The sequence below is a fragment of the Homo sapiens genome, chromosome X (assembly GCF_000001405.40).
Source record: "Homo sapiens chromosome X, GRCh38.p14 Primary Assembly".
NCBI lineage: Eukaryota > Metazoa > Chordata > Mammalia > Primates > Hominidae > Homo > Homo sapiens.
Window position 1 is genome coordinate 123,557,936 of NC_000023.11, and position 14,518 is coordinate 123,572,453.

At 40.3% G+C, this 14,518-nt stretch overlaps 2 pseudogenes, besides 1 other annotated feature; both read left to right on the top strand.

Annotated features, from left to right (window-relative positions):
* Positions 1-414: 414 nt before the first annotated feature.
* LOC107985645 (cytochrome c oxidase subunit NDUFA4-like) lies at positions 415-667 on the top strand (annotated as a pseudogene).
* On the top strand, positions 3,613-5,536 carry TUBB4AP1 (tubulin beta 4A class IVa pseudogene 1; annotated as a pseudogene).
* Positions 4,036-4,536: an enhancer, noted in NCBI's record as "H3K4me1 hESC enhancer chrX:122695822-122696322 (GRCh37/hg19 assembly coordinates)". NCBI's record gives its function as "activates a minimal SCP1, AML or CMV promoter by ChIP-STARR-seq in naive H9 embryonic stem cells {active_cell/tissue: H9 hESC(naive)}" and the evidence as "EXISTENCE:reporter gene assay evidence [ECO:0000049][PMID:30033119]".
* Positions 5,537-14,518: the final 8,982 nt, after the last annotated feature.

A 14,518-nucleotide genomic window follows, 5' to 3' on the forward strand; every position in this document is an offset into this window, starting at 1 on the left:
TGTTATAAATATTGACCCTTGAAAACACGGTTTTTAAATATTTTGTATGACAAATGGAAAATATGCATAAAGCACTTCTGCTACATCTTGAAGTATAATCACTGCCTCGAAGACAAACACTTGTGCAATTTAAAAGTAACTCTTTTCATGAAACACCATTGGTAGTTAAAAGAATTACTGACAGACAAACTTTGGTTATTCAGACTTGGATTTTGGGCAGATGTTTCTCTAAAATTAACAAAGTGAGGCTGTCACTTCAAGGAAAACAACTGACAGCATTATTTGTCAATTACAAAATTCAAGTTTTCATGTAAAAATTAGAGTTTTAGAAAACTTGTAGTAGATACTACTTAGTCCAGGGCCTGATAGCTAGGCTTGTTCACTTCTTTTGAATCAGAGGCCGCTGCTGCAAACATGCTCTACCAGATCCTCAATCAAGCCAAGAAGCATCTGAGCATGATTCTCCTCTGAGTTTATTGGAGATGGAGGTACTGGAGCAGCACTGTATGTTTTATATCCAGCATTGTTCAATCCAGATGTTACTTGGGACAGAAAGAATGACCCAGAGCCCTGGAACAAACTGGGTCCCAATGATCAATACAAGCTCTACTCAGGTAATGTGGATTACAGCAAACCGAAGAAAGAAGGTCTTGTAAAATTGCTTTAGAATGAAGGTCCTCCAGAAGCCATCTCCACAATTTTCCACTTAACTAGGAAATTTTTATCCTCTAAATGCATGAAATCATGTTGATGTATTGTGTAGGAGGTTACACTCATTAATAAATATTTGAAACTTACAAAAAAAAAAAAGAAAACTTGAGTCTGCCACCATAAGCTGTACAGCTTTCTGAAACATAAATACTTTCCTGATAAGATCAATGGTGATAGTAACAAATGTGATATTGTATCATGAAATATGTCAATATTTGGAAAGGTTTGCATAACTCAGTGAAGCAATATTTTTAAAATAATGAATGCATGATGCTACAAAATCATTCATAGGTAAAAATTCCACTCCAGGTGAGGATAGGCAAATGGATTTTCATGTATAAAAACACAAACAGTTCATTGATATAGTTTCAGTTTGCATTTTGGAACTAACCTCCAAGAAACTTCCAATTGTCCAATTTTGGTATAATATCAAAAACCATCCACAATTATCGGCATAGACTACTTAAAAACTCCTGTCTTTTCCAACTACACATATGTGTGAGATAGGACTTTCTATATTTCACCCAGAACAATATATCACAGAAGAGTGAATGCAGAAACAGATAAGGGAATCCAGCTCTTTTCTATTAAGACAGAAATCAAAGAGATTTGCAAAAAATATAAGCCCATGTTACTTTTCTCACTAAATGTTTTTGTTTTGAAAAATATAGTTATTTTCATAAAATAATTTGTGCTAACTTGTAATTGATGTATTATCACTTTTAAATTAATACATAATTAAATATTTTTAATTTCTATTTTAATTTCTAATACAGTAAATAATAGTATATTTAACTCAGATAAACAAAGGCTCTTTGGGGTCCTCAATAATTTTTAAGAGTAAAATTAAACAGTTGGAGAACTACGGCTCTAGAAAAACTCAGGCCCGGGAACAGTGGCTCACTCCTGTAATCCCAACAATTTGGGAGGCCAAGGCTGGCAGATCACTTAAAGTCAGGAGATTGAGACCAGCCTGGCCAACATGACGATACCCCGTCTCTACACAAAAATTAGCCAGGCATGGTGGCACGCACCTGTAATCCCAGCTACTTGGGAGGCTGAGGCAGGAGGATCACTTGAGCTCAGGAGGCAGAGGTTGCAGTGAGCCCAGATCGAGTCACTGCACTCCAGCCTGGGCAACAGAGCAAGACTGTCTCAAACAAAAAAAAAAAGAAAAACTCTTACACATATGCTCAAGGAAACGTGTTTATCGCAGCTTTGTTTGAAACAATGAAAAGATGAAAACAATGTAAATATTCAAGAAGAGGTGAATGAATAGGCAAAATGTATATATTCATAAAATGTAATAATATGTAACTGTTGAAAGAAGAGTTACAAGTATTAACATGGGTGAATCTCACAAACATAATGGTGAGGAAGTTGTCAAATTCTTTGTAAAGAGTGATAGATTTATATACATTTTTAAACATTTACATAAAGTCAAAAGATAGTCATTAATCATACCAGATTTTTGTCTATGTGTATATATATATATATATGTAGTAAAATTAAATACATGAAAATGAATGAGAAGAATGTCCACCAACTTCAGGATATGGTTCTTCTGAGAATGAAGAGAATGATTAGGAAGAAGTACAAATTGGACTTGACCTCTATCTATAATATTTTATTTATTTAATAAATAAAATAATTCAAAGCAAGTATCATAAATTATTAGCATATGTGAATTCAGGATGATAGGTACACAGAGCTCTCTTTTATTAAATTCTCTTCCATGTATGTTTTGACAGTACTGCCCTCTCTCAGTTCATATATCACAGTCATGAGGTCTCCAGGGAGAAGAGTGAGAATTCCACAAAACAGAGTGGGTTTCAGTGGTGGTCTCACCTCTTCACTATCTTTCAGAAGATTGCCATGAATTGTTGTTTATCTGCAAATCATAAGAGGATTGTGAATTATACTATCTAGTTTTAAATAAAACAGTCCTTAAAACGTGGGTAAAGAGCTTGAATAGATTCTTACAAAGAAACCAATTGAAAATAATTATGCAAATGGAAAGCTGGATAAAGAGCCAAGACCCATCAGTATGCTGTCTTTAAGAGATCCATCTCACATGTAAAGACACACATGGGCTCAAAATAAAGGGATAGAGGAAAATTTCCCAAGCAAATGGGAAACAGAAAAAAGCAGGAGTTGAAATCCTAGTTTCTGACAAAATAGAATTTAAACCAACAAAGATCAAAAAAGACAAAGAAGGCCAGGTGTGGTGGCTCACGCCTGTAATCCCAGCACTTTGGGAGGCTGAGGCAGGCAGATCACCTGAGGTCGGGAGTTCGAGACCAGCCTGACCAACATGGAGAAACCCCATCTCTACTAAAAATACAAAATTAGGCAGGTGTGGTGGCACATGCCTCTGATCCCAGCTACAAGGGAGGCTGAGGCAGGAGAATCACTTGAACCCGGGAGGCAGAGGTTGCAGTAAGCTGAGATCATGCCACTGCACTCCAGCCTGGGCAACAAGAGTGAAACTCCACCTCAAAAAAAAAAAAAAAAACATTCACTAAAACCCACACAACTACATGGAAATTGAATTACTTGCTCTTGAATGACTCTTGGGTAAATAATGAAATTAAGACAGAAATCAAGAAGCAATTTGAAACTAATGAGAACAAAAAGACAATGTACCAGAATCTCTGGGAAACAGCTAATTCAATATTAAGAGGGAAATTTACAGCACTAAACACTCACATCAGAAATCTAGACAGATCTCAAGTTAAGAACTTAACATCTCAACTAAAAGAGCTAGAGAACCAAGAGCAACAAACCCCAAAGCTAGCAGAGACAAGAAATAACCAAGACCAGAGCAGAACTGAAGAAGAGACATGAAAAACCCTTCAAAAAAATCAACAAATCTAGGAGCCTTTTTTTTTTTAATTAATAGTGCTCCGCCGTCTCCACAGCATCTTCCACCCACGCCGCTGCAGCTCCCCACGCTCACGCCACCTCCGCCACATCCACCCTCAGCACCACCACCATGCAGGAGATCATGCACCTGCAGGCCGGCCAGTGTGGCAGCCAGATCAGGGCCAAGTTTTGGGAGGTTATCAGTGACAAACATGGGCATCGACCCCACAGGCACATACTATAGGGACAGTGACCTGCAACCGGAAAGGATCAACGTGTACTACAATGAGGCCAGAGGAGGAAATTATGTCCCCAGAGCGGTGCTGGTGGACCTGGAACCCAGCACCATGGACTCTATCCTTTCCGGCCCCTTCGGTCAGATCTTTCGGCCGGACAACTTCGTGTTTGGCCAGTCCAGAGCCGGCAACAACTGGGTGAAGGGGCACTACACGGAGGGCACAGAGCTGGTAGGCACTGTCCTGGACGTGGTCCAGAAGGAGGCCTAGAACTGCGACTGCCTTCAAGGCTTCCAGCTGACGCACTTGCTGGGGGGTGGCACGGGGTCCGGGATGGGCACACTGCTCATCAGTAAGATCCGTGAGGAGTTCCCAGACCGCATCATGAACACCTTCAGCATGGTGCCCTCGCCCAAAGTGTCAGATACGGTGTGGAGCCCTACAATGCCACACTGTCTGTGCACCAGCTGGTGGAGAATACGAATGAGACCTACTGCATCAACAATGGGGCACTCTATGACATCTGCTTCCGCACCCTCAAGCTGACCACCTCCACCTACGGGGACCTCAACCACCTGGTGTCAGCCACCATGAGCAGAGTCACCACCTGCCTGTGCTTCCTGGGCCAGCTGAACACCAACCTGCACAAGCTGGCCGTCAACATGGTCCCCTTTCCTTGCCCGCACTTCTTCATGCCTGGCTTCGCACCCCTGACCAGCCGGGGCAGCCAGCAGTACCAGGCCCTGAGGGTGCCTGAGCTCACACAGCAGATGTTCGATGCCAAGAACATGATGGCCATGTGCAACCCGCGACATGGCCGCTACCTGACCATGGCCACCGTGTTCCGGGCCGCATGTCCATGAAGGAGGTGGACAAGCAGATGCTGAGCCTGCAGAGCAAGAACAGCAGCTACTTCGTGCAGTGGATCCCCAACAACATGAAGACGGCCGTGTGCGACATCTCGCCCCACGGCCTGAAGATAGCCGCAACTTTCATCAGCAACAACACAGACTTCCAGGAGCTGTTCAAGTGCATCTCTGCGCAGTTCACGGCCATGTTGTGGTGCAAGGCGTTCCTGCACTGGTACACAGGCGAGGGCATGGACGAGATGGAGTTCACCGAGACTGACAGCAACATGAATGACCTGGTATCTGAGTACCAGCAGTACCAGGATGCCACAGCCGAGGAGGGCGAGTTCAAGCAGGAGGCCGAGGAGGAGGTGGCCTAGGCTGCTCCCATCGCTTCCTGTCTGTCCCCTCGAGGCTTCTGACCTTTGACCCCCTAGGCCCTCCATCTCTGACCCCTAGACCCCCGCTTTCCCTCCAAGCCTGACTCATCCCTGACCCTAAGACTTCACCCTGACCCTAACAATACCTTCGGAGCTCGCTTTACCTCTGGCTACTTCATCTCCGACCCTGGCTCCCCATTGACCCTTGAGCCCTAATTTATCTTTGACCCCCTTGAGCTCTTCCAACCTTGACATTCCTAGGAGGAGCCCCGCTTCACCCCTTCTGACTCTGGAAACCACACCTTTAACTTTGAGGGCCCTCTTTCACCCCTGACCTCTGCTTCACCTTTGACCCCTGCCCCCCATGAATCCCATTTTACCTCTAGACCCATAAGTCCTGGCTTATGTTTGACCCCTCCCTCTGAGCTGCACTTCACCTCTGACCTTGCCTCACCTTTAACCCCCGACCTGAGCCCCAGCTCCTACCTCTAACCCCAACTTCTCTTTCACCCGTGAATCCCCTCTGACCCCAACTTCTCTTTCACCCCCTACGAATCTCATTTTACCTCTCCACCTATAAGTCCTGGTTTACACTGCACCCCTCCCTCCGAGCTGCAGTTCACCTTTGACCTTGCTTCACCTTTCACCCCCCCACAGCCCCAGCTCCTACCTGACTCCAGCTTCTCTCTGGCTCCCACAGACCCCATGCATCCTCCCTGCCTCACTCCCCTCAGCCCCTGCCAACCTTAGCTTATCTGGGAGAGAAACAAGGCCTGGTCCCTGTGAGGAAGAGAGGTCGCCCTTGCCCTCCCTCCCCGCTTCCTGCCTCGCCTTCAATAAATAAATTGCTTAAAAAAAGAAAAAATTAATAAAATAGACCACTAGCTAGACTAATAAAGAAGAAAAAAGAGAAGAATCAAATAAACACAATTAGAAATGATAAGGGGTTTATCACCCTGACCCCACAGAAATATAAACAATCATCAGAGAAAACTATAAACACCTCTATGAACATAAACTAGAAAATCTAGAAGAAATGGATAAATTTCTGCAGAGATACACGCTCCCAAGACTGAACCAGGAAGAAATTGAATCCCTGAATAGACCAATAATGAGTTCTGAAATTGAGGCAGTAATAAATAGCCTACCAACCAAAAAAAAAGCCCAGGACCAAATAGATTCACAGCTGAATTATAACAGAAGTGCAAAGAAGAGCTGGTACTATTTCTATTGAAAATATTCCAAACAATTGAAAAGGAGGGACTCCTCCATAACTCATTTTATGAGGCCAGCATCATCCTGATACCAAAACCTGGCAGAGATACAATAAAAAAAGAAAATTTCAGGCCAATATCTGTGATTAACATCAATGCAAAAATCCTCAACTAAATACTGGCAAACTGAATACAGCAGCACATCAAAAAGCTTATTCACCATAATCAAGTAGGCTTCATCCCCTAGATGCAAGGTTGGTCCAACTTATGCAAATCAGTAAGTGTGATTCATCACATAAACAGAACTAAAGACAAAAAACACATGATTATCTCAATAGATGTGGAAAGGCCTTCAATAGAAATCAGTATCCCTTCATGTTAAAAAGTCTCAATAAATTAGCTACTGAAGGAACATACATCAAAATGATAAGACCCATCTATGACAAACCCACAGCCAATATCATACTGAACAGGCCAAAACTGGAAGCATTCCTCTTGAGAACTGGCACAAGACAAGGATGCACACTCTCTCCACTCCTATTCAACATAGTATTGAAAGTTCTGGCCAGGGCAATCAGGCAAGAGAAAGAAATAAAAGGTATTCAAATAGGAAGAGAGGAAGTCAAATTAACTTTGTTTGCAGATGACATGATCCTATATCTAGAAGACCCCATCGTCTCAGCCCAAAAGCTTCTTAAGTTGATAAGCAAATACAGCAAAGTCTCAAGATACAAAATCAATGTGCAAAAATCACCAGCATTCCCATACACTAACAACAGGCAGGCAGAGACCCAAATCAGGAATGAACTCCCATTCACAATTGCCACAAAAAGAATAAAATACCTAGGAATACAGCTAACTAGGGAGGTGAAAGATCTCTATGAGGAGAATTACAAACCACTGCTCAAGGAATTCAGAGAGGACACAAACAAATGGAAAAACATTTCATGCTCATGGATAGGAAGAATCAATCAATATCACGAAAATGGCCATACTGCCCAAAGTAATTTTTAGATTCAATGCAATTCCCATGAAGCTACCAGTGACTTTCTTTGCAGAATTAGAAAAAAAAAAAAACTACTTAAAATTTCATATGGAACCAAGAAGAGCCAGTAAAGCCAAGACAGCCCTAAGCAAAAAGAACAAAACTGGAGGCATCACACTACCTGACTTCAAACAATACTACAAGGCTACAGTAACCAAAACACCATGGCACTGGTACAAAAACAAACACATAGACCAATGGAACAGAATAGAGAACTCAGAAACTGAGACCACACACCTACAACCATCTGATCTTTGACAAACCTGACAAAAACAAGCAATGGGGAAAGGATTCCCTACTTAATAAATGGTGCTGGGAGAACTGACTAGCAATATGCAGAAAATTGAAACTGGACCCCTTCTTTACACCTTATACAAAAATTAACTCAAGATGGATTAAAGACTTAAATGTAAAACCCAAAACTATAAACACTCTAGAAGAAAAGCATATCATCCATTTTGCAACATACAGAGAATTAATAAATGTAGGCATTGACTATCAACACCTGCTAACATCACAGAAAAAAAGAGACTACAAGACATAACATACATTCTGATAGAAGAACAAAATGCCTCCAATAAAGTATTCTTGTTAAACAAAGAGAGAAAGTGGGACAGAAGGAGAGGAGGGAAGAAGAAGGAAGAAGAGGAGGAGGAACAGTGACGATGGCAACAATGACAAAAGAACATGTTAAATATCATCATACGTGGGAAAATCCAAGCTGTGGGAAGCTCTTCAGGACAAATGACCTAGTTTCTGCAGCAAATAAATAATTTCAAAAAAAGAAAGATAACCTATAAATTAAAAAACTTAAACACTATAAATTAATCATAATGCAGACCTTATTTAGATGCTAAGTCAAAGAAACTTTTAAAAATTAGGTACTCAAGGATATCCTCGAAAAACATTGATGCGAAAATCCTCAATAAAATATTGGCAAACTGAATCCAGCAGCACATCAAAAAGCTTATCCACCACGATCAAGTCGGCTTCATCCCGAGGATGCAAGGCTGGTTCAACATACACAAATCAATAAATGTAATACATCACATAAACAGAACCAATGACAAAAACCACATGATTATCTCAATAGATGCAGAAAAGGCCTTCGATAAAATTCAACATCGCTTCATGCTAAAAACTCTCAATAAACTAGGTATTGATGGAATGTATCTCAAAATAATAACAGCTATTTATGACAAACACACAGCCAATATTATACTGAATGGGAAAAAAACTGGAAGCATTCCCTTTGAAAACCGGACCAAGACAAGGATGCCCTCTCTCACCACTCCTATTCAACATAGTATTGAAAGTTCTGGCCAGGGCAATCAGGCAAGAGAAAGATATAAAGGGTATTGAAATAGGAAGAGAGGGAGTCAAATTGTCTCTGTTTGCAGATGACATGATTGTATATTTAGAAAACCCCATCGTCTCAGCCCCAAAACTCCTTCAGCTGATAAGCAACCTCAGCAAAGTCACAGGATATAAAATCAATGTGCAAAAATCACAAGCATTCACATACACCAATAATAGACAGAGAGCCAAATCATGAGTAAACTCCCATTCACAATTGCTACAGAGAGAAAAAAAATACCTAGGAATACAACTTACAAGGGATGTAAAGGACCTTTTCAAGGAGAACTACAAACTACTGCTCAAGGAAATAAGAGAGGACACAAACAAATGGAAAAACATTCCATGCTCATGGATACGAAGAATCAATACCATGAAAACGGCCATACTGCCCAAAGTAATTTATAGATTCAATGCTATCCCCATCAAGCTACCAGTGACTTTCTTCACAGAGTTAGAAAAAACTATTTTAAATTTCATATGGAACGAAAAAAGAGTCCATATACCCAAGACAATCCTAAGCAAAAAGAACAAAGCTTGAGGCATCATGCTACCTGACTTCAAACTTTACTACAAGGCTACAGTAACCAAAACAGCATGGTACTGGTACCAAAACAGATATACAGACAAATAGAACAGAACAGAGGCCTCAGAAATGACACCACACATCTATAACCATCTGATCTTCAACAAACCTGACAAAAACAAGCAATGGGAAAATGATTCCCTATTTAATAAATGGTGGTGGGGAAACTGGTTAGCCATATGTAGAAAACAGAAACTGGACCCCTTCCTTACACCTTACACAAAAATTAACTCAAGATGGATTAAAGACTTAAATATAAGACCTAAGACCATAAAAATCCTAGAAGAAAACCTAGGCAATACCATTCAGGACATAGGCATGGGCAAAGACTTCATGACTAAAACACCAAAAGCAATTGGAACAAAAGCCAAAATTGACAAATGGCATCTAATTAAACTAAAGAGCTTCTGCACAGCAAAAGAAACTATCATCAGAGTGAACAGGCAACCTACAGAATGGGAGAAAATTTTTGCAATCTATCCATCTGACAAAGAGTTAATATCCAGAATCTACAGAGAACTTAAAAAAATTTACAAGAAAAAAACAACTCCATCAAAAAGTGGGCAAACGTCCATGAACTGACACTTCTCAAAAGAAAACATTTATGCAGTCAACAAACATGAAAAAATGCTCATCATCACTGGTCATTAGAGAAATGCAAATCAAAACCACAATGAGATACCATCTCATGCCAGTTAGAATGGCGATTATTAAAAAGTCAGGAAACAACAGATGCTGGAGAGGATGTGGAGAAATAGGAACACTTTTACACTGTTGTAAATTAGTTCAACCATTGTGGAAGACAGTGTGGCGATTCCTCAGGGATCTAGAACCAGAAATACCATTTGACCCAGCAATCCCATTACTAGGTATATACCCAAAGGATTATTAATCATTCTACTCTAAAGACACATGCACATGTATGTTTATTGCAGCACTGTTCACTATAGCAAAGACTTGGAACCAACCCAAATGCCCATCAATGATAGACCGGATAAAGAAAATGTGGCACAAATACATCATGGAATACTATGCAGCCATAAAAAAGAATGACTTCATGTCCTTTGTAGGGACATGGATGAAGCTGGAAGCCCTCATTCTCAGCAAACACACACAGGAACAGAAAACCAAACACTGCATGTTCTCACTCATAAGTGGGAGTTGAAAAATGAGATCACATGGACACAGGGAGGGGAACATCACACACCGGGGCCTGTATGCGGGTGGGGGGTTAGCGTAGAAATAGCAATAAGAGAAATACCTAATACAGATGATGGGTTGATAGGTGCAGCAAACCCCCATGGCACGTGTATACCTATGTAACAAGCCTGCACGTTCTGCACATGTATCCCAGAACTTAAAGTATAATTTAAAAAAAATAATAATAATACTAAAAAAGAAAAAAGAAAAAAATATGTACTCAAAAGAAATGAAAACTTATGTTCACATAAACGCCTATATTCAAATGTTTATAGTAGCATTACTCATAATACCCAAAAAGTGAAAACCACCCAAATGTCCCCATCGACTGATGAATGGATAGATAAAATGTGGCATATCCATACAATGGAACATTATTTGGCAATAAAAAGAAATGATATACATTACTGATCCATGCTACAACATAAATGAACCTTGAAAATATTATATTGAGTGAAAGAAGTCAGTCACAAAGGATAATATGTTGTATGATTCCATTTATGTGAAATGCCCAGAATGAGTAGGTCTATAGAGACAGAAAGTAGATTGGTGGTTGCCTAGGGCTAGGAGGATGGTGGAATTGGGGAGGGATGACTGCAAATAGGTAAATAGTTTCTTTTGGGGGTGACAGAAATGTTTTAAAATTGATTATTATGAGGGTTGCACAACTCCATGAATGCTAAAAGCCATTAAATTGTACACTTTAAGTGGGTTAACTCTATGTGAATTACATCTCAATAAAGCTGTTTTAAAAATTATGACATTTATGAAACCATTGGAAATTTGAACATTGGATATATGATAGTAATAAATTGTTGATATTTTAGCTGAAAATGATCATATACCTGTTTTTAAAGAATCCTCATCTTTTACAGACAAATATTGAATTATTTATGGTTGCAGTGATGTGATGTATAGGATTTGTTTCAAAATAACTCAGTCATGAGTAGTGTGTGGCAATATAGATAAAACAAGATTGGCCATGAGATCATTATTTTTGAAGCCAATGATGTGTATTAAGGGTTCACTATACTATTCTGCCTAAATTTTTGTTTGAAATCTTCTCATTAAATTTTACTTCAGTGATTAAAATAATACCCCAAAGGGACTGATGTTGGATCATTGTGTACTAAAGTCATTCTGTGAGTTGGTACTTGTGTTTTACCTGAAAGGAGAAGATAGTGTCATTACCAATCATCCTTGAACAATAACAAAGACTGAAAAGGTAAGCTTTTGATTGGCTCCTTCCCATCTAAAGAATGTGATGGGGCCTGATGTGGTAGTCAGGGTACTAATTTAACTCATACATCATTTGTACTCCTAGAGTGGTGAAGACTGGTTATACACACAAAGACAGACATCTAGAAGAGTCCAAAGCAAAAGGCTAATAGGACACAAAATGTACAAATCATTCAAAATGATTGATAAATTGGACCATGTTAAAATTAATAATTTCTTTTCACTGAAAGACACGATTAAGAGAGTGAATAAGTAAGCCAGCAAGGTAATTGATCTTACATGGAGATTAGATGAACTTAGAGAGCTGAGGGAAATACAGGGGTAGAGGAAGCAGTGGGAAGAGCTCTGTGGCTACTCTTAGTCCCTGGGGAAGCCATTTCTGACTTTGTCTCACAGGGGTCCTTTGGGGAGGGCTGCCGGTGGAATTGGGGAAAAAACACAAGGAGAGGTTGTGAACTGAACTTTGTAACAATTTCAACCAAACACGAAGTTTCCTGGACAGAACCTGGGTAAGAGGGTGAACCAGGAGTGCAGACACAGTACAGAAGTTGTGACATGCTGGGAGCCGCAAAACCTGAAAGTCCTGCTTGCTTTCCCAGTGGGGAGGCCTGGACCCTGGGGCAAGTCCTCAGCTCTGCTCACCTACTACCTGGAAATAAACTCAATGCTGTTGTGGAGGGCACAGTGAGAGTGAGACTGGCCTTTTGGGCTGTGTGGGAGCTAGGTGAGGCCTGTTACTGCCAACTTTCCCCCCAGTTCCCTGGCAACCTGCCATGGCATGCAGCAGAGGCAGCCATAATCCCCCTGGGAATATAACTCCATTGGCCTGAGAATCACACCCCCATCCCCTACAGCAGCCACAGCAAGCCCTGCCCAAGGAGAGTCTGAGCTCAGACACACCTAACCCTGCCCCCACCTGGTGGTCTTTCTCTACCTGCCCTGGTAGCCAAAGACAAAGGACATAATGTCTTGGAAGCTCAGTGGCCCAAACCACCACCTGAGAAACTTATCCAGGTGACCCTAGGGCAAGCTTGTATCCTCCCTATACTACCACAGCTGATTCTCTCCTGAAAGCACCACCTCCTGGCTGGAGGCCAAATAAAACTAGCACAATAAACAAAAATACAACCAAGGACCCTCACAGAGTCTGCTTCACTCTCCTGCTACCTCCACCATAGTACGTGCTGGTATCCATGGCTGAGAGACCTGAAGATGGATCACATCACAGGACTCTTTGCAGACACCAGCCCAGAGCTCAGTAGCTCTGCTGAGTGGCTAGATCCAGAAGAGAAATAACAATCACTGCAGTTTGGCTTTCAGGAAGGCACATCCCTGAATACCCACATCCAGGGAGCACTCTGTGGGATGAAAGAATCTGAACAGCAGTCCTTGACCATCAGATCTTCCCTCTGACATAGTCTACCCAAATGAGAAGGAACCAGAAAAACAATTATGGTAATATAACAAAACAAGGTTCTTTAACACCCCTAAAATATCACACTAGCTCACCAGCAATGGATCCAAACCAGGAAGAAATCTCTAGATTGCCAGAAAAAGAATTCAGATGGACAATTATTAAGCTACTCAAGGAGGCAGAAGAGAAATGTGAATACCAACTCAAAGAAATTTTAAAATGTTACAGGATATGAATGGAAAAATCTACAGGGAAATAAATAGCATAAATAAAAAACAATCAAAACTTCTGGAAATGAAGGACACACAGAGAAATGCAAAATACACTGGAAGGTCTCAGCAATATAATTGAATAAGTAAAAGAAAGAACTTCAGAGCTTGAAGACAAGGCTTTCAAATTAACCCAATCTGACAAGTCAAAGAAAACCAGAATTTTAAAAATGAACAAAGCCTCCAGGAAGTTTAGGATTATGTTAAATGATGGATTCTAAGAATAATTAGTGTTCCCAAGGAAGAAGAGATATCTAAAAGTTTGGGAAACATAGTTGAGGAAATAATCAAGGAAAACTTCCCTGGCCTTGCTAGAGATCTAGATACCCAAATACAAGAAGGTGAAAGAACACCTGGAAAATTCATCACAAAAAGATAATCATGTAGGCACTTAGTCATCAGGTTATCTAAAGTCAGAACAAAGGAAAGAATCTTAAGAGCTGTGAGACAAAAGCATCAGGTAACCTATAAAGGAAAACTTATCAGATTAACAGCAGATTTCTCAGCAGAAACCCTACAAGCTAGAAGGGATTGGGGTTCTATCTTTAGCCTCCTTAAACAAAACAATTATCAGCCAAGAATTTTGTGTCCAGTGAAACTAAGCTTTATAAATGAAAGAAAGATAGTCTTTTTCAGACAAATGCTGAATTAGCCACTACCAAGCCAGCACTACAAGCACTGATAAAAGTAGCTCTAAATTTTGAAACAAATCATCAAAATGCACCAAAATAGAACCCCCTTAAGGCATAAATCTCACAGGACCTATAAAATAATAACAAAATGAAAAAAAAAAAAACCAAGGTATTCAGGCAACAACTAGCATGATAAATAGAATAGTACTTCACATCTCAATTGTAACATTGAATGTAAATAACCTAAATGCTCCACTCAAAAGATACAGAATGGCAGAATGGATAAGAATTCATCCAGCAAGTATCTGCTGTCTTCAAGAGACTTACCAAACACATAAGGATTCACATAAACTTACAATAAAGGAGTGGAAGAAGATATTCCATGCAAATAGACACCAAAAATGAGCAGGAGTAGGTATTCTTATATCAGACAAAACAAACTTCAAAGCAATAGCAGCTTAAAAACACAAAGAGGGACATTATATAATGATAAAAGGACTTGTCCAACAGGAAAATATCACAA